This window comes from Homo sapiens, chromosome 16 (genome assembly GCF_000001405.40).
Source record: "Homo sapiens chromosome 16, GRCh38.p14 Primary Assembly".
Classification (NCBI taxonomy): Eukaryota; Metazoa; Chordata; class Mammalia; order Primates; family Hominidae; genus Homo; species Homo sapiens.
Window position 1 is genome coordinate 28296194 of NC_000016.10, and position 27869 is coordinate 28324062.

The window sequence follows — 27869 nt, forward strand, 5'->3', positions numbered from 1 at the left end:
AAGCAATTCTCTGCCTCAGCCTCCCGAGTAGCTGGGATTACAGGCACCCGCCACCATGCCTGGCTAATTTTTTGTATTTTTAGTAGAGACGGGGTTTCACCATCTTGGCCAGGCTGGTCTTGAACTCCTGACCTCGTGATCCACCCTCCTCGGCCTCCCAAAGTGCTGAGATTACAAGTGTAAGCCACCACACCCGGCCACACCCAACTAATTTTTGTATTTTGGGTAGAGACGAGGTTTCACCATGTTGGCCAGACTGGTCTCGAACACCTGACCTCAGGTGATCCACCTGCCTTGGCCTCCCAAAATGCTGAGATTACAGCCACCACACACAGCCCAAAAAATCTTTGTTCGGTGGGCAACCTTCGTCTGTGTGTGTTCTGCACTCATGGGTGTTCCCTCCCACCCCCATGGTCAAGTTAGAACGTGCACAGAATAGTGTCCACCCAGGGTCTTAAGGGCTATGTGGTGAAGTGAACCTGAACTTCTCCAGCCTGGTTCCACTTTCCACTCTTGATCCCATCTTGCACTCTTACCCCTGAACTAGTGACATCCAGCAACCAAAAACCTGTTTTCTCTGTCCCACTTGCCCCATGTGTCCCAGGGACAGCAAACCCGAGTCCTTCCCTTCCCCTCCTGACCTGGTTCTAGGTGCAGGTCTTGCTCAGGACTCTTGGGGCAGGGCTACTGTCCAGGGTTCCGTTCACCCCTCTGTCCACAGAAGAACTGGATGAAAGCTTCTTGTAGCTGTAAGTTTCTTCCTTCTAACTTTCTAGGACTAAGTCCAAGCTGGTCTAAGTTTTGGTCAGGCAGGAGAGCTGGGGGCCTAATTATAGGAGTAACTAAAAAATATTGGTCAGGTGCGGTGGCTCACACCTGTAATCCCACCACTTTGGGAGGCTGAGACAGGTGGATCATTTGAGGTCAGGAGTTTGCGACCAGCCTGGCCAACATGGTGAAACCCTGTCTCTACTAAAAATACAAAAAATTAGCCAGGTGCGGTGGCATATTCCTGTAATCCCTGCTACTAGGGAGGCTGAGGCAGGAGAATTGGTTGAACCCAGGTGACAGAGGTTGCAGTGAGCCGAGATTGTGCCACTGCACTCCAGCCTGGGTGACAGACTGAGAGTCCGTCTCAAAAAAAAAGAAACAAAAGTTGACATTTCCTGAACAGAAACGAAACTGATGGGCATTGTGGAGTAGCTGGGCCAGGGGCCAGCAGCAGGCCCCTGTCACTGGGCACAGCTCTAGAAGGGAGTGCACCCTTTTTCTGAACACAGGTCTCCAGCAACCTGAGGTCAAAGCAGATACCAGAGCACCATGGAGGAGAGCTCAGGCTCTGGATTCTGCCTGGGCTTGAAGCTCACTGAGATGCTGTGTGACCTTCAGCAAGGCACTTACCCTTTCTGGGCCTCAGTGCCCTCATCTATAAAAGAGGGATAATACTATCTTGTAGGATCATCAGGGGGATTAAGCAGGCTAAAGAATGGAAGGGACCTAGGACAGGGTATCCCATATCAAAAATGCTCACTAACTATTGGCCCTTATTAAATGGGGCGTCGGCAGGTGGGTGACTGAGCCTCCACAGTTACTCTTCCTTGGGAGCTGGTCTAGGGAGGCAGAGGCTTCTGGTTCTGTCCTCAAGAAAGGGAAGGGGTCCCTGGGAGGCAGGATAGCATTGTGAAGTGGAGCTTGCCCCTGCCCCAGGTGTGGGTGAGGGCGGAGGCCCTTCCTGAGCCTCTTCTAGCACTCTGCCTGAGGGCTGGGACCGTGGTTTTGTGGGTAAAGCCCTCCTCCTTCCCAGCCTATGCTTTCCACGTGAGGCGCCTGCTGCCTTCTGCTGGAGAGTTTCCTGGAGACTTTCTGCCCCAGAAGGATGGGCCCCAGGCCAAAGTATTCCCCAAACCACCCCTCCCCTGGCTCGCCTCCTGCTCCCCCTTTCAGGTCTCAGGAAGGGGTGGCAGCTAGGCCTGGAAAGGCCAGTTAAAGTCCCCTCTCCTCCCCAGCCACCCTCCCATCGCCCCACAATTGCTTGGCCATACCTGGAGAGAGGACAGGTCCAGCTCAGCCCCACCTTGGGAAACCACGTAATGTCAGGGTTGGAGAGGAAGCAGCGGAACATCTCCTAGTGTCAAGTGCTCAGTGCTGGACAGCGTTTTCTCATTTAGCCCTGAGGACAGCACCACGTTAACCCCAGAGTCAGGATTTGCACCCAGCTGTGTGGGCCACCAAAGGTTTGTGTGAAGCCAGTGTCTGAGTGCCCAGGTTTGAAGCCCACCTCCACCATTCTCTGGCTGCGTGACCTTGGGCAGGTCAGTTGTCTCCTGGGCCTCAGTTTCCTCTGACGTAGAATGGAGACAATAATAGCTGCCACTTCCTAAAGTTGTTGTGAGGATTAAGTGGATCTGTTGCAGATGAAGCGCTTGAGCAGGGCCTGCTGCTTAAGTGTTTGCTCTGGCCTTCCCTGCCGGGGTATGCAAATGAGCTGATCCAGGCCCAGGGAACTGCTGTGATCTCCCACTGCACTAGCACTCCTTCCTCATGGCTTTAGGCAACCACCAGAGGGGCAGAGGATGTTCCAACTGCCTCTGGGCTTTGGGATGGCCCCAAGGGGCTGGGAGACAGGGCACGGGTGGGGCTGGAGGGGACCATCCTCCTCCTTCTGATCTGGGCCCAGAGAGGCTGTATAGCGCTGGGCCCCCACTGCCTCCAGGGCAGCTTTTCTGGGTTTGTTAGGGTCCCCCACCATAGCCAGAAGGGGTTTACCTATCCATGAGCATAATTTGTGACTTTCTGAGCCAGGGCTCAAGGCCTTGCAGAGAGGAGACTTTTCCACCTTGGGAGCTCAGGTGCCTGCCAGCCCTGACCCTAGGTGTCTCCAGGAGGCACAATGGGGCCCACAGATAACACAGCTTAGTGGTAAAAAACGCAATCCCTAGATTCAGCTGGGTGACCTTGGACAAGGTGCTTAATCTCTCTGTGCCTCAGGTCCCTCATCTGTAAACAAGGGGGATGATATTAGTACTTGCCTCTTAGGGTCACTGTGAGGAGTAAGAGAATGAATGTAAAGTGCCATGAATGGCACCCAGTACCCATTAAGGGTTTGTTGTTCATATAAGTCCTCAAAGCCCTGAGCAGAAAGGGAAAGTTAGCCCCATCTTTACAGATGGAAAAACTGGAGGTGTATGGGTGAAGCTGTTTCCTCAAGATTCCGTAGCTGGGATTTAGGGAAGAGTCTGCCTCCCTTGATACCATTCACACATGGTCCACAAGCCAAGGCCAGTCAAATGGACCTGATGGGACCTCGCCTGAGCTCCAGGGCTAGATTTCCTGCCCCACGCTTCCACTTACACGGGGCCATGGCAGTGAGAACTGTGTCAGGGAGGAATCTGCAGCACTTGCCCCAGGCCTCCCCGAGAAACCTCTAAGCTTCCCCCACCCCCTCCTCAGCCCCACTCCAAGAACAGTGTGCGATGCTGCCACAGCTGGCCTCGGAGTTTCTGAGTCTGATCGGGTCAGGTTGACACTGTCACTTTTCACTTCTCCAGGCCAGGTTGGCTTCAGGAAGGGTTTGTTCAGGTTTGGGGTTTGGAGTGCATCCCACTTGGAGTGGAAGCCAGGTCCCCGCCATGGCCTCGGAGGCCCTGAATGACAACAGCCATCCCTTCTCACCTCTGCTCTCATCTCCTGCCCTTCACTCCCTTATCCCTGTGCACACAGCAGGTCCCACCTCTAGGCCTCCACACAGTGCCCTCTGCCAGGAGAGCCCGCCCACCACAATGCCTATGTGCATGCAGCCTTCTCCATGGGCTGGCCTCCCACCCACAATTCCCTTGCCTCTTTCCCGCTCTGCTGTTCCTTGAGGACTTCTCACTGCCTGACACACATCTCCTGCTCATCTTTGTCACTGTGTGCCTCCAAACTAGAATATGAGCTCTTTGAGGGCAGGACAGTTTGTTTGGTTCACGAATGTATTCCAGACCCAAAAATAGTACCAAGTACATAGTAGGTGCTCAACAAATACTTATTGAATATTTTGGAGCCAGATAGATGATCTCTACGTGACTTCTTAGCTGTGTGACACAGGACACATCACTTAAGCTTCCTATCTCTCTTTTTTGTTTGTTTGTTTGTTTGTTTGTTTGAGATGGGATCTCACTCTGTTGCCTAGGCTGGAGTGCAGTGGCGTCATCACAGCTCATGGCACTTTTGGCCTTCCAGGCTCAAGTGATCCTCCCGCTTCAGCCTCCCGACTAGCTAGGACCACAGGCGCATGCCACCATGCCTGGCTCATTTTTTTTTTAATGTTTTATAGAAATGGGGTCTTGCTATGTTGCCCAGGCTCATCTTGAATTCCTAGGCTCAAGCCATCTGCCTGTGTTAGCCTCCCAAAGTGCTTGGATTGCAGGCTTGAGCCGCTGTGCCTGGCCAAGCTTCCTATCTCAGAGTCTCAGTTTCCTGAACTGTAAAGGATGTAAGGGGATTAATAATAGCTTCTCCTGAGATTGTCATGAAGTTGAAATGAGTCAATATATATACAGTGCTTATACTTTCAGTGGCTCATAAATGTTGGCTATTACTAATAGTACCCTAAACTGCACTGTTATTTTATTATTTCACTTTACTGAGGATGGGGAAATGGGGAGACGGTAAGTGGCAGATCCAAAGCTTCCAGGCTAGAAATGGCGGTGAAAGCCTGAACCTGGACCGCAGGCTCCTAGGCTGGGCTGTCTTCAGTCCATCCCGGTGTAGGAGCTCAGGGAGGCAAAGGAGGTGAAGGATGCAGCTGGAGAAGGGCCCATCTCTTCTGGGGCCTCTGTTCACCCAGCCATCTCACCAGAGACCACCACTTGTCCACTGGTAGACATTCAGCCCAGTCCCCTTGCCTGTCAGCCAGTGGTGGGCACCTACTGTGCCCAGCATCCTGCACTCCTGTTGATACCCCTGAGTGCTGGGCCACCTGCCTCACCCAGGCAGCCAGGCTGGGAAGACCTCCCCAGCTTATCCCACACCCCTGGGGGCTGCCCCGGGCCCTGCACCCTCCAGTAGCCAGGAGGATAGGACCCAGGACCCCTGCCTTTCACAGTGCCTCACTGGGGAGGGCAGGAGAGGCTGGAGAGCCTGTTCCAGCTCTGGGCACCAGCTGCAGGAAGGCAGCGTCACAAGCTATTAATAGCCACCAAAGATGTGCCCCGAGAAGGGGCGGACTGTGCACCAGCTGGGAGGGGAGGCTGAGGCAGAGGCCGGAGCCAAATAGGAGTTCACAGCCCCGGGAACCCCAGACTGCCCCTGGTGGGGAGGGCAGTGAGGAAGAATGTCCAAGTGTCTGCAGCTTGATCTCAGGAAAGTCTGGACTCTTCCTCCCAGGCTCCTCATGTGGGAAGTGGAGGAGCGGGGTCAGGGGATCCCTACAGTGCCTTCTGCCTCAAGTGGGTTCAGGGGTGAGATTCAGCATAGCCAAATGGCCTCCATCTACAGAACAGAAAACCAAGGCACAGTGAGAGGAAGGCCTTCCCCAGGCTCACCTGCAGAGTCAACGACAGATCCAAGGTCCAGGCCCCTCTGACCAGCAACTTCTTACTGACACCCACTTTGTGCCCCATCCTGTTAAATGAGCATTCTCAGCCCCATTTTACTGATGGGCAAACTGAGGCTTAGGCAGGTGGCACAAACTGCCCAAGGTCACACAGCTAAAAAGGGATGGAGCCAGGATTTATACCCCGAAGGGAAGACAAGGAGGGGATTTGAGAATATACTCCTCCTCCTTCTCTTTGTGAGCCAAAACAGAAAGCTTGCTGGGGTCTGTATTTGTGTTGAGGACCAAGGGGAGGGAGAGGCCTTATCTAGAGGCTTGTGGGCTCCCAGGAGCCCTGTCCCTGCTGTTGTGTGTAGAAGTATGCATGTGCTACATGGGACATTTTTCAGGGAAGAAGGTCCTGAGCCTCATGGTGCCCCGTGAAGGCAGAACTAGTAGCTTACCTCATTTCACCCACTGGAAAACTGGAGAGAAGGAGGGGCTGGCCAGGGATGACCAGGGCTCCCTGGGACCAACAGCAGAGGCCAGAGTCTTTCCAAGAACCTCACTAGCCTGGCTTGGTGGCCCCCACCCTCTGGCAGTGAATAGGAGATTCCACAAGTGAACAGACTTCTGCACTGGAGTAAACAAAGGTGAAGGTCGGGGACATCCTTCAGGGAAGGTGTTACAAGGCAGAGAGCCAGGCTGGTACATCCACCTCGGGACATAGAGGGAGGCCTCCACTCTGGGCAGGGTGTGAAGGGGGCTCCCAGATTCCTCCCCTGCTTCTTGAGCACAGACTGGCCTGCTGTGGGAATTCAGGGGGCAGTTGTTCTCCTCTGGCCCTTCTCTGGGGGTGCAGGCAGGTGGGCGGGCAGGTGCCACCCCTCCCTGGCACTTTCCTCTGGCACTGTCTGGTCTCTTGGTTCCTTTTACTCCCCAGACCCAACTGGATTGTACCCGGTAGGAATTTTCATGCCTACGCTACCCCTTTTCACCCAGTTCCTGCCATTCTCCTCAGAGGTTAATTCATTTATTCAACAAACATTTACTAAGTGCCTTCTATACTCCAGGCACATGTTAGCAGCTGGAGGATACAGCAGTGAACAAGACCAGACAGCAAAATTCCTGCCCTCCAGCTGCTTAAGTTCTAGTGAGGAAAAGAGACAGTCATAATAGATGTCAGAAGTTGGTACATTATATAATACATGAGAAAGTGATACATCCTACCAGGAAAAAATAGAGCAGGGCATGGGGGGGGGTCAGGAGTGCAGTAGGGCAATCCTGGTTGAGAAGGTGTCATTTTGTCATTTGAACAGAACTTGTAGGGAATGAGCTGTGCTGTGGATATCTAGGGGAAGGCAGAAGGACTTGCCCCCAGACAGGGGGCTGGCATGTTCAGGGAACAGTGGGGGGACCAGCGTGTTGAGCAGAGGGAGGCAGAATATGGGGGGGAGATGGGCCAAAGGGTAAATGGAGGGCCATGGTAAGGGCTTTGGAACACAATGAGAGCCAGTAGAGGCTGCTGAGCCTGGGGGTAAGGGAATGCTCCTTGGCAGCTGTGTTGAGAGGGCTTGGAGGCAGGGACCAGTTAGTAAGTTGCTGTGGTAGCTGAGAGGTGACTGATGATGGCTCAGAGAGGTGGGAGTGAGTGGAGAGTGACCAGGTTGGGTGCTGAGGTGGCTAAGCACCTTGCTAATGTCTAGTGTTGATTCTAGAGTTATTTTATGCAAATACAAATGAGAAACCTGTTCTTACTTCTCACTATTTCTTTTTTCTTTTTCTTTTCTTTTCTTTTCTTTTTTTTTTTTTTTTTTTTTTTTTGAGACAGGGTCTTGCTCTGTTACCCAGACTGGAGTGCAGTGGTGCAATCATAGCTCACTGCAGCCTCGAATTCCTGAGTTCAAGAAACCCTCCCACTTCAGTCTCCTGAGTAGCTGGAACTACAGGCATATGCCACCACTCCTGCCTGCTTTTCAAAAAAAAATTTGTAGAGATGGGATTTCACCATGTTGCCCAGGCTGGTCTCAAACTCCTGGGCTCAAGAGATCCTCCCTTGTTGGCCTCCCAAAGTGCTGGGATTATAGGCATGAGCTACCACACCCACTACTTTCCCCCATTGCAAGGTAGCATATTAACTACCTGGGACTGTCTGGCCATGTCCCAAAGTGACACTGAGGCCCAGAGAGGGTGAGGGAGCTAGTGACAACTGCTGTGTTTCACCAAGAAGCAGCCCCTTCCTACGTGGCTGGGAGAGGTTCAGTGCCACAGCTCTGTGGGGTGGGATGGGGGGTGTTGGGCACTCTCCAGAAATTCCAAACTCACTCACCCTCTAACCTAGCAAGCCTATTTCTAGACTTTATCATACGGACTCACCTGCACATGGCAAAATGACTTCTGTACAAGGCTACTCATTGTTTATAGTAATAGCAAAAGGTTAGCCACGACCCAAGTGTCTGTCATTCAGAGTTTGGTCAAATGAATGGCAGTACATCCATATATGCCTTTCCAGCGCTGGGGGCCTGGGTTCCAGTTCTGCGGCATTTCCTCCGTGCCTGGCTCCCTATCCTCCTGGAACCTCCCCCAGCCTCGCACTTAATGCTGGACAGGCCTTGGTGCTGTCCACGCCTGTGGTGCTGAAGACACTGGAGCTGGAGAGAGGCCTGGCGCTGCGAACCAGAGACCAAGAATAGAGAAGGGGAGATAGAGCAGTGGGACGTTCAGGGTTCAGTCCCTGGCTCTGCCACTCAGGAGCTGAGTGACTTTGGGCAAGTTGCTTAACCCCTTTGATCCTCAGTGTCCTTATCTGTAAAATGGGGCTGCCATGAAGATTGATTGACAGCAGCAATGTAAAGTCTCAGCACACTGAGAAAATAAATGGTAATTTTTTTGTTTGTTTGTTTTTTTGTTTTTTTTTGAGACGGAGTCTTGCTCTGTCGCCCAGGCTGGAGTGCAGTGGCACAATCTCGGCTCACTGCAAGCTCCGCCTCCTGGGTTCATGCCATTCTCCTGCCTCAGCCTCCCGAGTAGCTGGGACTACAGGTGCCCGCCACCACGCCCAGCTAATTTTTTTGTATTTTTAGTAGAGATGGGGTTTCACCGTGTTAGCCAGGATGGTCTCGATCTCCTGACCTCGTGATCCGCCCGCCTCTGCCTCCCAAAGTGCTGGGATTACAAGCGTGAGCCACCGCGCACGGCAGCGGTAATTTTTTTTTTCTTGAGACGGTGTCTCACTCTGTTACCCAGACTGGGGTGCAGTGGCACCATCCCAGCTCACTACAATCTCCACCTCCCGGGTTCAAGTGATCCTCCCACCTCAGCAGCCATATGGTGGAACTTCAGGCCCTGAGCACCTCTGACCTCTCTCACCTGCTTCACTTTACTTCTCTGTAAGGCAAGGGGACCAGAGCTGAATTCCCTTAGCCTGCAGGACCAAGCCCACTCTCTGCACCTCCATATGACCCCTCACCTGCCTCAAGGTTTCTCCCCGCCAGATCTTTCTTTCTTTCTTTTCTTTTTTTAGAGATGGAGTTTTGCTCTTGTTGCCCAGGCTGGAGTGCAATGGTGCATCTCAGCTCACTGCAACCTCCACCTCCCAGGTTCAAGTGTTTCTTGTGCCTCAGCTTCCCAAGTAGCTGGGATTACAGGTGTGTGCTACCACACCTGGCTAATTTTGTACTTTTAGTAGAGACAGGGTTTCACCGTGTTGGTCAGGCTGGTCTCAAACTCCTGACCTCAGGTGATCCGCCTGCCTCGGCCTCCCAAAGTGCTGGGATTACAGGTGTGAGCCACCGCACCTGGCCCCAATCTGTCTCTCTTTCTTTGTTTCTTTTTTTTTTTTTTTAGAGAGACTTTCTCTGTCGTCCAGGCTGGAGTGCAGTGGTGCAATCTTGGCTTACTGCTACCTCTGCCTCCTGGGTTCAAGTGATTCTCCTGCCTCAGCCTCCCGAGTAGCTGGGATTACAGGCGCCTGCCACCACACCTGGCTACTTTTTGTATTTTAGTAGAGACCATGTTTCAACATGTTCCACCATGTTGGCCAGGCTGGCCTTGAATTCCTGACCTCAAGTGATCCACCCGCCTCAGCCTCCCAAAGTGCTGGGATTACAGGCATGAGCTACCGCACCCAGCCCTGATCTTTCTTATATACGTAGTCAGATAAACTGTCTTAAAACCAGATTTGACCCAATCCTTGCCTTGCTTACATATTTTCAGTGGATTCTTGAATGGGCATGTGGTGTTTTCTGTTCCACATCAGTTTCTCTTCCTTACAGTAATGGCCCTCTCTCTGCCCGTGAAGTTTGGAAGGGATGTCTCCACCATGGTTTTGCAGGGAGGGCCTGGCCAATAAGCAGATCGATCCCATCTGCTAGGTCACTGTGACTTGTTCAGAGATGAACAAGTAACCAAAGGTGACCCACCGAGATCTAGCCCCAGGACTGTTGCTGTAGCCATCAGGAAAGAGGGACCCTCTCACCCTGGGCTGCAAAGCTGCAGGACACAGCTGTGCCGCTGCTGTGGGCCGGCTTTTCCATCATGGGGGAAGGGGAGAGCCCGCTTGAGAATAAAGCAATAAAGATATAAGCAGAGAGGAGAGAAAGGTGGAGAGATTTCCGATGACTTTGAGTTCTGGGGCCAAGCATGCCTAAAGCCAATTATACTCTTGAACATTTGTTTCATGAATCAATATACTTCCTTTTTGGCTTAATTCAGCTGGTTTGAGTTGAGTTTATGTAACTTGCAAGCTATTCGGGCTCAGGCACTGTGCGGGGTGTTGGCATGGGGTGCCTATGTTAGAGCAATGCAACAGACAAGTGGGAATGAGCCCACAAATCAGAGAGGCAGATAAAATATGGACACAGATAACCATGAGGCCAGGGCAATGGTCAGGGCTCCAACATTTCCAAGGAGGGCCCTGGCAGTAGGGATCTGGGCGGCTTCCTAAATCAGGAGGTGGCACCTGAATAGGCCTTGAAGGGGATTAACAACCCAGCAAGAAACCGAAGAGCTCCTTGAAAGCAAGCCCTGTGCCTTCCTCATCTCACTATTCCCAGCACTTAGCCAGGGTGTGACAAACGCTGGGTGAATAATTCTCTACGTGTTTGGGAAATTGTAACTTTTTATACTTGGCTTTCCTGAATGTGACCCTGTAGGCACATAGCTATTTTCCCAAGGGCCTGTGCAAAGTATCATTAGCCCCATTTTACAGGCACAGAGACTGATGGCCAGAGAGGAACAGTGATTTGCCGAAAGTTACGTAGGAAGTCAGTGGCAGGGCTGGGCTAGAAGCCAGGGCATCTGCAGGGCAAGGTGCTCTCTCCCTCCAGCAGCCCCAGCCCCAGCCCCAGCCCCAGCCCCAGCACAGTGCAGTACAGATGGGGGTGGCTGTGAGTAACAGCGGCCGCTGTGAACAGAGAGGCTGGGGGTGCTAGAAGAGGTTGATGATGCCAACGGGGAGGAGAGTGATGATAAATAGCCGACACTCAGGGAACCCCTGTCATGTACCAAGCGCCTCATGTAAATGAACTCATCTAATCCCCACAATGTCCTATGACACAGAGACTTATTAACCCCAATACACAGATGTGGAAACTGAGGCACAGAGTGGTCATGTCATTTGTTCAAAATCATCCATCCAATAGGCGGCAGAGCCAAGATTCAAATCCAGGCACCATCACTCCAGTGTCCAAAAGCTTAACCACTATGCTTCGCTGTCTCTAAAATGACAGAGTAAAAATTACCATTTATTGGCTGGATGTGGTGGCTCACACCTGAAATCCCAGCACTTTGGGAGGCCAAGATGGGTGGATCACTTGAGGTCAGGAGTTAGAGACCAGCCTGGCCAGCATGGTGAAACCTCATCTCTACTAAAAATACAAAAATTAGCCGGGCGTGGTGGCTCACGCCTGTAGTCCCAGCTACTCGGGAGGCTGAGGCAGGAGAATCGCTTGAACCCGGGAGACAGAGGTTGCAGTGAGCTGAGATTATGCCACTGCACTCCAGCCTGGGCAACAGAGTGAGACTCAGTCTCAAAAAAAAAAAAAAAAAGAAGAAAGAAAGAAAAGAAAAAATAAATAAATAAATTTCAAGATGCGTTTTGGAGGGGACATTAAAACCGTAGCAATATCTCTTCCTGTAAAATGGGGATAGCGACGGTAGCACCCACCTCCCAGGGTTGCTGTGCTTATCATCTAATAGATTTAATCCACAGTGGTTAGCACAGTGCCTGGCATATAGTAAATGCTCAGGAAATATTTGCCAGCATAATTATTCTCCCACAGAGCAGGATAGGAACAAGCCGTCTTCTCTTTACAGGCTGGTCACTCTCCACCTACTTCTGTAACTGGGTCCTTGTCACTTGGTGCCCAGTATTGTCACTGTCCTGGTTAACCTCCTCTGGCCACATTCCAGGGAGGTGGACACGCTGAGGTTCAAATCTAATCTCTCTGGTTTGTTTGTTTTGAGACAGAGTCTCGCTGTCACCCAGGCTGGAGTGCAATGGCACAATCTCAGCTCACTGCCAGCTCCACCTCCCGGGTTCGTGCAATTCTCCTGCCTCAGCCCTCTAAATATCTAGGATTACAGGTGCCCACCACCACACCTGGCTAATTTTTGCATTTTTAGTAGAGATGGGGTTTCACCATGTTGTCCAGGCTGGTCTCAAACTCCTGATCTCAAGTGATCTGCCTGCCTCAGCCTCCCAAATTGCTGGGATTACAGGTGTGAGCCACCATGCTTGGGCTTTTTTTTTTTTTTTTTTTTTTTTTTTTTTTTTTGAGACAGGGTCTCACTCTGTTGAGACCTCCCAGGCTTAAGCGATCCTTTCACCTCAGCCTCCCAAGTATCTGGGACTATAGGCATGTGCCACCATGCCCAGCTAATTTTTTTGTTTCTTTGTAGATAGAGATGGAGGTCTTGCTATGTTACCCAGATGGTCTTGAACTCCTGGGCTCAAGCAACCCACCTGCCTTGGCCTCCCAATCCAACTGCTGGGATTACAGGCACAAGCTATCGTGCCTGGCGTTCTTTGGGGTGTGTGTGTGTGTGTGTGTGTGTGTGTGTGTGTGTGTGTTTGTTTTGTTTTTAATTGATAGAGATGGGGTCCTCACTCTGTTGTCCAGGCTGGAATACAGTGGTGTGATCATGTCTCACTGCAGCCTCGAACTCCTGACCTCAAGCAATCCTCCCACCTCGGCCTCCCAAAGTGGTGGGACTACAGGTGCCATCACATGCAGCCCCAGATCTGAGCTCTTCTGCTTACTTGCTGCATAACCCTTGAATTGGGGTAGTGCCAGCTGCTGTAACAAACAAGCCCCCATATCCCAGCAGCCAAACATGATCGAAGTTTCCCAGTGGCTCCCACAACAATGCAGACGGGCAATCCTCCACAGCAGGAGGCTTTCCACACAGTGACCTGGGGACCCAGGTGCTTCTTCTCTTGTGGCTCCACCATCTTCTGGGGTTTTGGAGTCCTCTGCATCAAACCAGCTGCAGAAGAAGAGAGTGCAGATAAACCTTCCCCGATCCTTTGAAGCCCCAGGCTGACAGCGACACACATACCACTTCTGTGCACATTCCAGTGGGGAGCCAGTCACATGGCTGGCCTGGATGCAAGGGAGGCAACGTGGTTCCCTGCTGGATGGCCGCTCTCCAGCCCGACTTTGTAGTATAGGAGAGGACACACGCGTTGCTGAGGGACAGGTGGCTGTCTGTGTCATAACTATGGGCGGATCATCCACCTCTTGGGCCTCTTTTGTTGTCTGTTAAATAGAAGGCATCACTCAGTTGTGGCGATGACTGCACAGCCCTTTACGTTTACTCAAATCATTCAATTGTGCACTCCATGGGAGTTAGGTGGTATATAAGTTCTACCTCAATTAAGCTATTTTTTCAAAATAGGAATTCAAGCTGGACGTGGTGGCGCATGCCTGTGGTCCTAGCTACTCGGGAGGCTGAGGCAAGAGGATCATTTGAGCCTGGGGGTTCAAGACCAGCCTAGGCAAAATGGGGAAACCTTTTATTTTTTAAAAAAATAAAATAATAGGAAGCACCCCCCCTTCTCAGGGGTTTTGTGAGGACTCAATGAATGAAATTTTTCCAAGTTGGCCACACCATGTAGGTCTGTGTATACACGTGTGTCTGTGTGTGTGCGCATGTGTGCATGTGTGTCTGTGTGGATGCTTGTGCATCCGTGTGTGTGTTGGTGGGGAGAGCAACAAGGACTCCAAAGTAGGCCTGAGCCAGACGATGAGTTGGGTGTCGTTTCATAAGGGTGGTGCCAACGCTTGCCGACCGCCAGCAGGAAGTGGTGGGCGGCTCAGTCTTGCTTCTTGCTTGGGAAACCCTCCCCCACCACGGTGGCCCTCCCAGCTTGTGGCAGAGCCGTGACTACTGCCATGAAGTCGAGGGGGACCCCCACCCACCCTCAGCAACACAGATGGCAGATGGAGGCCTCCCTCAGGGCCGGTGAGGACACACCCTTGAGGCGTGAGGTGTGTGCGCCCTTCCTCCACCCTCTTGAGTGTGGGTGGATGCGGCGCTGACAGCCCGGCGTGAACAGAGGTCAGAGAGGCCTCCGCTGCCTGGTGCTGGCAAGTTCACAGCCATCACATCCACAGCTGCTCCTGCAAGTGGAGGCAGGGACGACCAATGACGAAATACTTTGAGGGTCGAGTTCCCACTGAGACTCGGCCCTCTTCTGGGCCTCAGTTTCCCCACCTGGCTGGGGAATCTGGGTGCGATGTTCCCAATATCCTGCCTTGGGAAAGCACAAGAGTGAAAGGTACCAGCTTTGGAGCCAATACCAATGCTAGCTGTGTGACCTTGGGCAAGTTGCCTGTTTCCTCATCTCAAAAGCCTGTGCTGCTGCTCACACCTGTAATCCCAGCACTTTGAGAGGCCAAGGCAGGAGGACTACTTGAGGCCAAGAATTGGAGACCAGCCAGGGCAGCATAGTGAGACCCTGTCTCTATTTTTTTTTAAGTGGAGCTAACAATAATGCCTACCTTGTATTTGTGAGGATTAAGTGCATTAGTCCTGAGAACGGCCAGGCAGGTGGTAAGTCCTGTGTGAATGTTGGTTCCATTATTATTGTTACTTGATTTCTTCATGGTAGGGATGGGGAAGCAGAGGCCCAGAGCAGTGGTGTGACTTGCTCAAGGTCACCCAGCAAAAAAGTGGCGCACATTAGGATCAAGGCCAAGCCTCAAGGCCCATTGCTCCCCCTGTGCCTCCGACGCCACGTGCGCCGGAACTGGGTCAGAGGCAGCATGTACCTGGCGGATGACGCAGAGGCAGGGATGGGTGCGTGGATTAATTCCTTGTCTCCTGCTGACACCTTGCGGAGAAAAGGCCTGAAGGGAGAGGGAGGTGTGGAAGGAGAAGAAGGAGGGAGGGGACAGTAGGGGGACTCCCAAAGCTGAGCCCTGGGAACCAGGAAAGGGATGCAGGAGAGGGGTGAATCCGATCCAGCCCCTGCCCCTGGGGAGCTCTTGGTTTGTTGATGGGCAGACAGGGACACAGCTGAGGTATTCAACAAGGGCCCTGAGAGAGGGACAGGCAGCCCCTGTGAATCTTGCTGTTCAGCAGAGACAGGAGTCAGCACGTGTGAGGGCAGCAGGGAAGTCTTCCTGGAGGAGTGAGACCTGGCGATGAGGAGGCACGGCAGGGAGGTGGAACAGGCAGGAGAGACTCTTCAGGAATTGAGGAGATAGAATAGAGGACACTAAAGCCTTAGAGAGGCCAGGGGTGGTGGCTTGGCAGGATCATCGCTTGAGGCTAGGAGTTTAAAAGCAGCCTGGGCAACATAGCGAGACCCCATCTCTAAACACAAAAAATAAAAAATTAGCTGTGCACCATGACGCACACCTGCAGTCCTAGCTACTCACAAGAAGGCTGAGATGGGAGGACTGCTTGAGCCCAGGAGTTCAAGGCTACAGTGAGCCATGATCTGCACTCCAGCCTGGGCAATAGAGCAAGATCCTATTTCTAAAAAAAAAAAAAAGAATTAAAGTAAATAAGTGCATTAAATAAAGCCATAGAGAGGCAGCGTGGGGTAGTGGTCAGAGCATGGGCTGAACCTGACAGTGGGGGGCACACATGGGGCCCAAACTGAGCCCACTGGACTGTGTCCCTGATCCAGCCCAGCCCTTCCCAGGGCAACTCTGAGGCAGACATGCCAGAGGGCAGAGATAAGCCAAGCATCCTGTCCCTGGGTGTGGGAGGCAGGGAGGGCTTGTAGCCACTGGTGGCCACCAATTAAGCTCCCAGAGTACACAGAACAGCCTGAGGTGGCCTTGCAGGGCCAAAGCCCAAGGCGGGAGGATTGCACACGTGTGGATGTGTGTGCTGTATGCACGTGGACCGCCCACCTCAGCAGCCCTTGGGGACTCCACACACGTCAGGAAAAGTAGGTCAGGGGAGCAGCCCAGCGTCTCCCTGTTGGGCGTGGGGAGGAGTTTGCGGCAAAGAGGGCTGCGTGCTCATCAGAGCCCCTGGGGGACAGCCCCACAGTCCACACAGAAAGGGCCCAAGGACGCGCAGGCCCCGGGGAGGCCTGCACAGAAGCAGCCTTGCCTCTCCCTGCTGGTGTTGCCGCGGTCACCTCGGTTTTCTAACTCGGAAGCCTCATCACCCCGTTGGTGGGTGGACATTTCACAGGGGTTGGAAGAGATTTTTTCCAAGCCTGAGACCAGGGAAAGACGATCACGCGGAGATGTCGCCCCATGTAAGCCCAGCTGGTGGCTGCGGGAAAGAGCCAGTGCTGTCCAGCCCAGAGCTGGGACTGCGTGGAGACATGGTGGCAAGTGGCATGTCTGCATTTGGATCAGCACACTAGAGTAGAGAGGAAGGGCATGTGGGACCGGGTTCTCTGGGCCTGGCACTGTTCCTACCTCTGGTGGAGGGGACTGTGGAATGAGCGAGGCCAGGGCACATGTTTAGGTGGAAATGAGCTAGGAAAGAAAAGACAGTTGCTGGAGAGGAAGTTCCTGTTGGAACAGGGGCAAGGAGGCCAAGTACAGTGGCTCAGGCCTGTAATCCCAGCACTTTGGGAGGCCGAGGCAGGAGGACTGTTTGAGCCCAGGAGTTCAAGACCAGCCTGGGCAACAAGGTGAGACCCCATCTCTACAAAAAATAAAATATGGGCCGGATGCGGTGGCTCACGCCTATAACCCCAGCACTTTGGGAGGCTGAGGCGGGCAGATCACCTGAGGTCGGGAGTTCGAGACCAGCCTGACCAACATGGAGAAACCCTGTCTCTACTAAAAATACAAAAATTAGGCATGGTGGCACATGCCTGTAATTGCAGCTACTCCAGAGGCTGAGGCAAAAGAATCGCTTGAACCCAGAAGGCAGAGGTTGCGGCGAGCCAAGATTGCACCAGGCAACAAGAGGGAAACTCTGTCTCAAAATAAAATAAATAAAATACGAAAAAAAATTATCTGGGCGTGGTGGCACGTGCCTGTGGCCCCACCTTCTCAGGAGGCTGAGGTGGGAGGATTGCTTGAACCCAGGAGCTGGAGGCTTCAGTGAGCCATGGGGGCACCACTGCACTCCAGCCTGGGCAACAGAGCGAGACCCTGTTTAAAAAAAATTTAATTTAATTTAAAAAACGACAGGAGGCTGGGTGCGGTGGTTCACACCTGTAATCCCAGCACTTTGGAGGATTGCTTGAGGTCAGGAATTCAAGACCAGCCTGGGCAACATGGTGAAACCCCATCTCTACAAAAAATACAAAAATTAGCCAGGTGTGGTGGCGTACACCTTGTGGTCCCAGCTACTCAGGAGGCTGAGATGGGAAGATTGCCAGAGTCCGGGATACAGAAGTTGCAGTGAACTGAGATCACGCCACTGCACTCCAGCCTGGGTGACAGAGCGATACCCTGTCTTAAAAAAAAAAAAAAAACATACTGACAGGGGAGATGAGCTGGTTCATGAATGGAGGGAGGCAGGAGGCTGGGAAGACAGGGATGGGAGCAGGCTGCAGGGCGGGGAGGGGAGGGTTCCTTCCTCCCCAGCCAGCTGAGAGGACGGTGCAGATGGAGCTCCGTTTGGGGCTGGGTGGGAGGCCAGGAAGTTCTCTCCTGATGTTCCTCCTCTCCGTGTGAAGTGGGAGGCTGGGTCGTGCCGAGAGTGAAGGGGAAGGCAGAGGAGGAGGAGAGGCTTGGGGCCTGGAAGGGAGCCGCTGGGCTGCGAGAGGATGCGGGGCTCATGGAGTGCTCACCCCCTCCCAGCCTCCAGCAATGCCCACCCGCCCGCCCACCCTTGCTCAGCCAGAGAGAAAGCCGGTGATGATGACGAGAACAACACAGCAAGCCTGGGCACCTATGGAGCACTTACTGCATGCCACATGCCAGGGCTTCACGCCTGTTAACTTACTTAACCCTCGCAAGAACGCATCGGGAGAAGGCACTGTTGTTGTTGTTGTTGTCGTTATTATTGTTATTATTATTATTATTATTATATTTAGATAGGGTCTCACTCTGTCATCCAGGCTGGAGTGCAGTGAAGTGATCATAGCTCACTGCAGCCTCGAATTCCTGGGTTCAAGCGATCCTTCTGCTTCAGCCTCCTGAGTAGCTGGGACCACAGGTGTGCACCACCACACCCAGCTAACTTTTTTTTTTTTTTTTTTTTTGTGGAGACAGGGTCTTGCTCAGGCCGGTCTCACACTCCTGGCCTCAAGCAATCCTCTCACCTTGGCCTCCCAGATTGCTGGGATCACAGACGTGAGCTACCTTGAGTGGCCCAACGCACTATTATTATATCCTTTGTATAGATGAGGAAACTGAGGCACAGAGAGAGGAAGTAACTTGCCCAAGGACATCCAGCTAGCAAGTGACAGAGTTGGGACTCAGACCCAGGCTGTCTGGCTCTACATCTGTGCCTTCTCCCAGAGGGAGCTGTGGTCATTGTTCTTCAGGGTGCAGGGGTGCTTAGGAGCAGGCTAGGGACACTGGAGTGACATGTCTGGGATTAGAGGGAGAAGGGGCCAGGTGCGGTGGCTCACGCCTGTAATCCCAGCACTTTGGGAAGCCCAGGCGATGGATCACCTGAGGTCAAGAGTTCGAGATCAGCCTGGCCAACATGGTGAAACCCCATCTCTACTAAACATGCAAAAATTAGCCAGATATGGTGGCGCACACCTGTAATCCCAGCTACTTGGGAGGCTGAGGTGGGAGAATTGTTTGAACCCAAGAGGCGGAGGTTGCAAAAAGCCAAGATCACACCACTGCACTCCAGCCCAGGTGACAAGAGAGAAACTCCGTCTCAAAAAAAAGGGAAAAAAGGGAGAAGGGAGTGCAGGGAGGGTAGAGGGAGGCTGCACCCGGAAGCAGTGCTCAGGGGCTGGAGGCTGGTGGCAGCTTCTAAAGGAGGCAGCCCTGGCCTCTCTTGCCAGTGCACACACAGATACATACTCATGTGTGCCTGCGCCTGGGAAAGGCTCATCCCCCATAGTCTACCTCTCTCCATTTACAGATGAGAAATGAATGCCCAGAGTGGTTGCCTGGAAGACCGGGGTTGGGGGGATGGGGTTTTAGAAAGGGGCAAAAGGAAACTTTGGGGTAATGGATGTGTTCGTGGTCTCGACGGCAGGGATGTATACATATGTCAGAATCATCACACTGTACACTTCAAATATGTGTAGTTTTTTGAACACCAAATATACCTCAATAAAACTAGAAAAATGACATGAGATAAGGGGAAATAAAGAAATGAAGGCCACGGATGGAGAGTTAGTTCACTGTCACCCACATGACAAGTCAGGTCTTAGCCCAAGTGGTGGCTCACGCTGTAGTCCCAGCACTTTGGGAGGCTAAGGTGGAAGGATCGCTTGATCTCAGGAGTTCGAGACCAGCCTGGAAAACATAGCAAGACCCCATCTCTCCAAAAAATTTAAACATCAGCCAGATGTGGTGGCGCATGCTTGCAGTCCCAGCTACTCAGGAGGCTGAGGCAGGAGGATCCCTTGAGCCCAGGAGTTCGAGGCTGCAGTGAGCTATGATCATCCTACTGCCCTTCAGCCTGGGCAACAGAGCAAGACCCTGTCTCAATACAAATACAGTTTTTTTTTTGAGACGGAGTCTTGTTCTGTCGCCCAGGCTGGAATGCAGTGGCACGATCTCTGCTCACTGCAGCCTCCACCTCCAGGGTTCAAGAAGTTCTCCTACCTCAGCCTCCCAAGTAGCTGGGATTACAGGCGTGCATCACCATGCCCAACTAATTTTTGTATTTTTAGTAGAGACAGGGTTCCGCCACATTGACCAGTCTGGTCTCGAACTCCTGACCTCAAGTGATCCGCCCACTCAGCCTCCCAAAGTGCTGGGATTACAGTTGTGAGCCACCATGCCCAGCCTAAATACAATTTTTGAAAAAGTCAGGTTGGCCAGGCGCAGTGTTCATTAGTCGGGTGGTGAGGTCGTCTGCAGTGGGGGAGGCACTGCCAGGCTGTGCTGATGTGTGGCCATGTGTATGGTGGGATGGTGTGGCCACATCTATACCATCCTGCCAGTTTGGCCTGAGACCACGTGGCCAAGGTATGTGATGATGCAATCATGGCCCTCAGACCTCTTCCCCACCCCCTACCTTATGGACAGCCATACCACTTTCGATCGTAATATACAACTGATGTGATCACTGTGTCTACTGCCCTTCTCCCCCTGGGGTGTAAGCCCCATGGTGGCAGGGAATCCTAGGTGTTTGTTCCATGCTGTGTCCTCCAGGCTTTGGAGAGCCCTGGGGAACAGCAGGTGCTTCGTCAGTACTTGTGAATAAGCTGGGCACAGTGGCTCATGCTGGTAATCCTAGTGCTTTGGGAGGCTGAGGTGGAAGGATCACTTGAGGCCAGGAGTTCTAGACCAGCCTGGGCAACATAAAGAGATGCCAACTCTACAAAAAAAAAATTAAAAATTAGGCATGATAGGTGCAGCAAACTACCATGGCACACGTTTACCTATGTAACAAGCCTGCACATCCTGCACATGTACCCCAGAACTAAAAATTAAAATAAATAAATAAAAATTAGCCAGGTGTGGTGGCACATGCCTGTAATCCAATCTACTCAGGAGGCTGAGATGGGAGGATAGCTTAAGCCTGGGAGGTCGAGGCTGCAGTGAGCTGTGATTGCGCCACTGCACTCCAGCCTGGGTGACAGAGCAAGACCCTGTCTCAGAAATAAAAATAACAACAAGCCGGGTGCAGTAGCTCATGCCTGTAATCCCAGCACTTTGGGAGGGCCAGGCAGAGGGATCACTTGAATCCAGGATTTCGAGACCAGCCTGGGCCACATAGTGGGACCCCCCTCTCTACAATCCAAATAAAACCAACGCTTCTGAATGGGAGTACCCGTGTGAACTCGGTATCTGGCTGTGTCTGTGTGACATAAACAGGGGCCTTGCCTGACACTGTGTGTGGGTGGCAGCATGAGGCAGAGGGGCTGGTGCCACCAAGCGCAGGGTCTGGCAGTGACTGGTCTTCGGGGAGCTGACTCAGGCCTGGCCCCTGAGGCTTTGGGGAAGGCGACGCGACCAAGATGCTTGTCGCCCCCTTGTGGTTATCTTGGGCCTGGCATCCGGGCCCATCCTCAAGTTTTCTGGGTTCTGGGGAGGGCAGAGGGGCTGGAGGAGGGGACCCTTGCCTGATGTCACACTTCATGCTCACCACCCCTACCCAACAGGGAGAAGATGAGCGTGGGCTGCCCAGAGCCTGAGCCGCCCCGCTCCCTGACCTGCTGTGGGCCGGGGACTGCCCCTGGGCCTGGTGCCGGTGTGCCCCTTCTCACTGAAGACATGCAGGCCCTGACTCTCCGCACACTGGCCGCCAGCGACGTCACCAAGCACTACGAACTAGTCCGGGAGCTGGGCAAAGGCACCTATGGGAAGGTTGACCTGGTGGTCTACAAGGGCACAGGTGAACAAGTGCAGGGTGGCAGGGCTGAGAGGTTGGGGTGGGGCAGGGCTGGGAGGTCAGGGTTGGGGGACATGACCTTGCAGCTGGGCCGGGGCTCTCTGGTGCTCTGTGGAAGCCAGGAGGCAGGGTCAGGGGCCAGATGTAGAGGATGAGGCCTGAGGCAGCCCAGGGGGAAAGAGACTGGGCAGATGGGGCAAGGGAGGAATCCGGGGCAGAGTGGCCAGGGTACAGGATGGGCTGCTGTGGGGCCATCTGGGGTGACTTTGAGACAGCCAAGGGGCTGTGCCAGGAGTGTCTGGGGAGGGCAGGGCTGCCGGCTGTGTCTGAGTATCACCAGCGTCTCAGGGATGTCTGGCCCCAGGAAGGTGGATGGAGAGTGAGGGTGGTTCCTCAGGAACAGGGTGCCACACTTAATGGGTGGTGGAAGGACCTGTGAGGTCAATATTGCAATCACCATCTCTCAGGTGAGGACAGGGAGACCTAGGCCAATTCAGCCACATAGCCAATGCCCTGCAGCTACAGAGGCTGTGAACCAAAACGAGACCCCAGGAGTCATCTCCAGAGCCTTGTCGCTTAGTCACTGAGCTTGATACCTCCCCCACACTGTAGGTCACAGCCGTGCCACCCAGCCAGCCAGGGGCTGGGGCTGTGTGAGCTCCCACAGCTGCACGCGCTTGGGTCCAGGGGCTTTGTGCTAACTGAGGGCAGCAGGAGGAGCACCTAACATGGGGTCACCTGAGCTTTGTTACTTGCTTGCTGTGTGACCTTGAGCAAGTGACTTCACCTCTCTGTGCTTCAGAGTCCTTCTCTGTAAAATAGGGTAACATTAGTGCACAACCCATACAATCATAATGAAGTGTGAGTTGTGAATGTGCAGTGCTGAAGGCAGGGCCTGCGATGTGTAAATGCTCCGTGGACACACATGTGTGCTCCACCCAGCTATGTACCAGATGGGCACAGATGCTTGCCCAGGCACAGAGTTGTGGACACATGCCTTGCAGTGTCTCATTTCTTATTCATTCATCCATTTAGCAAGACAGGAAGCTTAGGGAGACCCGTTCTAGATGGGGTAGGCTGACAAGATAAATAAGCATATGGCGGGCAGGACAAAATGAGAGAGGTGGAGGGCATCACAGGCCCCCTCGCCCCCTCCTCTTGGAGAGCTGCAGAGTGGGTGTAGAAGGCTCAGGTTGACCCTGCCTGCATGGCCTTGGGCAAGTCCTTTCCTCTCTCTGGGTCTGTTCCCATCCGTGAGATGAGGACAGTCATGCCTGCTGGGGACCCTGTTGCACCAGGGTCCAGAGACAGGCATGGGTGCATCCAGTGCGGAGGCACTGGGAGAGGGGGCTTCAACCCTGTTGCTGTTGCTCCCATCAGGCACAAAAATGGCACTGAAGTTTGTGAACAAGAGCAAAACCAAGCTGAAGAACTTCCTACGGGAGGTGAGCATCACCAACAGCCTCTCCTCCAGCCCCTTCATCATCAAGGTCTTTGACGTGGTCTTTGAGACAGAGGACTGCTACGTCTTTGCCCAGGAGTACGCACCTGCTGGGGACCTGTTTGACATCATCCCTCCCCAGGTACTCGGGATGGTGGCATAGGGTGGGGAAAGGGTCTTCAGGGTCCCAGAGTGTGAGAGTGGGAGTGGAGTCAGACCATTTAATTAACAAGTATTTACTGGGTGCCTGCTGTATGTCAGTTACCATTTGGGGAGGTGGGGATGTGCAGTAAGGAAGACAAAAGTCCCTGTTCTAGTGGGAAACTGACACTCCACAGCGGGCCAGATAATAACAGATGGAGATGAGTGCCTAAAAGGAGACAGTGAGAATGATGGGATGAAGTCACTGGGCCCTCCCCTGGGGCTACACAAGAGGAGAGGTGTCAGATCCACCTGGGAAGGGGCCCTCAGAGGAAGCGACCCTGGAACCGGGACGGTGGGGGAGGGTTCCAGGCACTAGCTTTAAATCTGCTCTGCCACTTGCTGGCTGAGTGATGAGACCTTCGGAGCAGGTCCTCCTTCTTTGCTGAGCACCTACTACATGCCAGAATCTGGAGACACAGATGCACGGACACAGCAGGGAACAGGACGGGAAGCTCAGGGAGCCCCGTTCTAGTTGGGGAAGACCGACGAGATAAGTATCTAGCAGGCAGGGCAAAATGACAGCAGGTGGAGGGCGCCGCGGACCCCCTCATCAACCTCCTGGAGAGCCGCGTGTCCCTCCTGGAGCCCCGATGTCCCCATAGGAGAAGCAGGCATGGTAGCCACTATGAGGATTGGATGAGACAGCGGGGGAAAGGGCGCTCAGCAGCATCCGGGCCGCGTCTGCGCGGTCGCCCCAGTTACTGGGGACAGGGTGGGAGGCGAAAACCGCCTTGCTAGAGAGGGAGCTGGAGGGGAGGGCGGCGGGGCGGGCGCTGGAGAGCTGGAAACAGCGCGGCTTCCCCCGGCCGCCCGCAGGTGGGGCTCCCTGAGGACACGGTGAAGCGCTGTGTGCAGCAGCTGGGCCTGGCGCTGGACTTCATGCACGGGCGGCAGCTGGTGCACCGCGACATCAAGCCCGAGAACGTGCTGCTGTTCGACCGCGAGTGCCGCCGCGTAAAGCTGGCCGACTTCGGCATGACGCGCCGCGTGGGCTGCCGCGTCAAGCGCGTGAGCGGCACCATCCCTTACACGGCGCCTGAGGTGTGCCAGGCGGGCCGCGCCGACGGGCTGGCGGTGGACACGGGCGTGGACGTGTGGGCCTTCGGCGTGCTCATCTTCTGCGTGCTCACCGGCAACTTCCCGTGGGAGGCGGCGTCGGGCGCCGACGCCTTCTTCGAGGAGTTCGTGCGCTGGCAGCGGGGCCGCCTGCCGGGGCTGCCTTCGCAGTGGCGCCGCTTCACCGAGCCCGCGCTGCGCATGTTCCAGCGCTTACTGGCCCTGGAGCCCGAGCGCCGCGGCCCAGCCAAGGAGGTGTTCCGCTTCCTCAAGCACGAGCTCACGTCCGAGCTGCGCCGCCGGCCCTCGCACCGCGCGCGCAAGCCCCCCGGGGACCGCCCGCCCGCCGCCGGGCCACTGCGCCTCGAGGCGCCTGGGCCGCTCAAGCGGACGGTGCTGACCGAGAGCGGCAGCGGCTCCCGGCCCGCGCCCCCCGCCGTCGGGTCGGTGCCCTTGCCCGTGCCGGTGCCGGTGCCAGTGCCCGTGCCGGTGCCTGTGCCCGAGCCCGGCCTAGCTCCCCAGGGGCCCCCCGGCCGGACCGACGGCCGCGCGGACAAGAGCAAAGGGCAGGTGGTGCTGGCCACGGCCATCGAGATCTGCGTCTGAGTCGCCTCCGCCGCCCTCGGACCCGGGAGCAGCCCGGGCCCGCCCCGAGCCGGTGCCCGGTGCGGCGGTAGGGAATGGAGCCACCTCGCCGCGGGGCAGGGGGCGCAGCGGTAGACTAGGCAGGACGCGGCCCGGCACCTGGTCCGTCCCCGGCGGGCTGGTGAGGGGGCCACCAAAGACCCCTAGCGCGGCCTGGTGAGCGGGGGCTTGGCCCAGAGGAGCCAAGCCGCACAGACCCGAGAATTCGGAGGCCACCACACAACACACACACACACACACACACACACACACACACACACACACACACACACACACACGCCAGGAGCAAGGGAGCTTTCGGGCCACACTCCCAGACGCCTCCCTGAGCCCTGGAACCCGGACTCGTTGCTCCTGGCCTTCCATACCCCCTGGCAGATCATCCTGCGGTCCCACCCCAGATCCCCTCCTCCTCGCCATCCCATTCTGCCCCCTCCCCACCCTGGGTACAGAAAGGGACTGAAGTGTTGGGCAGAGAGGGGGCTTAAGGCCCCTGGGCACAGGCTGGGATCAGGGCAGTGAGCGAAGGGCAGCTGTGTCCTGCCCTCCCTTCTGGAGGCTGGAGGGGAGAGGCCAAGCCCTTGGAAAATGTAGCAAATGTCTGGATGTCGCATAAGTGCGTGTATGTGCGGGACAGGCCCCGAGAAGCTAGTGACTCCTGCACACCCCCATTGCACAAATGAAATCACAGCCCAGGAGGGAGGGTAGCTTGGCACTGGCTGAGAAATAGAGCTCTCTCCCCGCCCCTCCCCCTAACCACAAGGGATTGTCCTGACAACTTGTGGGGATAGAAGGGCTCACAGGGCAGGGGTCTCAGCTGCCCCCATCCTTAGGGCAGGGGAGTTAGTGTGGAGCCGAGAGCAGGTCCCAGCTCCCCCTGCCAGCCGCACTGTCCCAGGCCCAGGGACCTCTGCCGGGTCCTCCCAGCCCTTGCCACACAGCCTAGACGTAGTAGCCTGGGCTTCCAGCAGGTGGCGAGCTGGTTCGTGCTGGAAATTTCTCCTGGGTTTCTTGGGGTCAAACATGCCAACCTCCAAGACCCCATCCTCACGTCTCCCACTTTTCTGGCGCTGGAGTGTGCAGGGCGTAGGACCTGCATGTGTGGGTGTGAGAATGGGGGCGGTGGACACCAGGGGGCGAGTGTGTGACTAGGTGTGTGTGCACATGTGTAGGGTGCAGACGCATGGGTGCCATCCTTTGCGTTCAGTGACTGTGCGTCCAGACCCCTCACCAGCGGCCCCCCCACCACACCCTGGTCCTCCCAGGCAGCTGTCCCAGGGCGCCCAGGCCTGCCTTGCACCACAGCCCTCAGGAAATCCGGCAAGGAGGCCCCTGCAGGTTGGTTCAGGCCCCCAGGTAGCAAAACAGAGACAACAGCAGCCCCGCCTGACCCCCTGCCCCTCTCTGTGGAGGCCCGGGACCCCCGCAATAAGCACCACATGGGTGAGGCTGTCCCTGTCAGGGTCCCCTGCCAGGGTCCCTCCTGGGGTTCTGGGCCATTTGAGGGGCTCTTTGATGGGCCAGGCCGGCCAGAGTGAACTCCGAGCACTTTCTGGCTGGTGCCCCAACCTCTCCACTCCCCACTCATTCCCACCTTGAAAAAGGGCTATAGGTCCCCTGCCCTGCCCGGGTCCAGTTTACAAACAGTGTGGGGTGGCCCCAGGGCCTGGCCCCACTCTCCCTGCTGTGCCCACTCCTCTCCAGACTCCACCTCCCCAGTGGGTATGGGCCCTCCACATGCCAGGTAAGTAGCAAACCCCCACTCCCTCCAAGGACCAGGTCTCAGAGAAGGCCCTGGTCACTGCCCCCGGCCCACCTGGAGCCCATCGGGGCTGCCTCTCCCAGCCGCGACTTCTCCTTTTGCCTTAGGCCTCGCGACATCCTGATCTCTCCTGCAATAACTAGGAATCGAGATTCCACAGTAGACGTCCCTTGCCGTGCTCGCTCTCTCTCTCGCGCGCGCTCTCTCTCTCCCTCTCTCTCTCTCTCTCTCTCTCTCTCTCTCTCTCTCTCTCTCTCTCTCCTCTCTTTCTCTCTCTCCCTCTCTCTGTTAAGATCCTGTTCGGGAGTTTCCCCAGCCGTTGTAGTATCTAGTATGTTAGAGTTGGGAGGGGACCATAGTTATGTAGCCCAGCCCCCTCATTCCCAGAGGCACCCAGAGGGCCAGCCTCCAGCCTGACCCCAGAGCAGAACCGGAACACCAGGTTGGGGCCCTGGTGCTGCCACCTCCTCTGCTGGTCGGGCTGGGACCCTTTGCCCCTTAGGAGAGGTGTTGGTCACAGATGTTTACCTCAGTTTATGTCACTGTCGAAGAAACAAAAAATAATAGCAAAAAATAACACTGTAGACATGAAGACTTAGAAGACAAAAAAAAAAAAATCACACAAAAAATCTCCCTTGTTGCGATTCTTCTGTGAAGGTACAGTGTGTATGTGTGTATGTGTGTATGTGTGTGCGTGTCTCTGTCCCAGACCCTGTGTCCCCCACACTGCCCCCTGTCCTTCGGTGCTTCCCAGAGACCCCTCTGAGCTGGCCTGTGGGGCACGGGAAGCCCCCTGGATGGGAGGCGGGGCCACAGGTCGGCTAGAGGGTCTCCACCAGGCCCACTGAACAGAACCCCACGGCTGCCAGAATGTTCCCTGAGCCCACACTGTGGCCAGTGGGACAGTCCTGGTGGCTGACATCAGCGTCCATGCTTGGCTCAGGGCCTGGGGCGGGGTCCTGGGTAGAGTCCTAGCCCCAGAGCCCCAGCCCCTCATGTCTTGCCGCCCTTCCTCCATGTGTTTGTAAATACTCTGGCATCCTTTGGCCCTGAGAAGGTTTTTAAATGTGTTATTTACTTCTCTAAACATGACGATTGCTATAAAAATAAACAAAAGTTTAGAAAAATGACCACTGGGTGGCTGTCTTTTCTCAAGTTTGGGGTGGAGAGGGCGGTGGGGGTGGGGGCACACAGGTACTCTAGAAACTGAAAACTTGGGCTGGGCGGAGCGGCTCACATCTATAATCCCAGCACTTTGGGAGGCCGAGGCGGGCGGATCACCTGAGGTCAGGAGTTCAAGACTAGCCTGGCCAACATGGTGAAACCCCCATCTCTACTAAAAA

The 27869-nt window shown here is 54.8% G+C and overlaps 1 protein-coding gene across 2 annotated transcripts in view; it reads left to right on the top strand.

The window, feature by feature from the left end:
- SBK1 (SH3 domain binding kinase 1) overlaps positions 1 to 27656 on the top strand; it is a 65169-nt gene extending 37513 nt beyond the window's left edge. For both annotated transcript variants that reach the window (XM_005255315.5, NM_001024401.3), the window contains exons 2-4: positions 21192 to 21424; positions 22802 to 23004; positions 23883 to 27656. In XM_005255315.5, the coding sequence (XP_005255372.1) occupies positions 21192 to 21424; positions 22802 to 23004; positions 23883 to 24728 (1282 nt within the window). In that variant the 3' untranslated portion in view covers positions 24729 to 27656. The remainder of the gene's footprint in view (positions 1 to 21191; positions 21425 to 22801; positions 23005 to 23882) is intronic.
- The last annotated feature ends 213 nt before the right edge of the window (positions 27657 to 27869 follow it).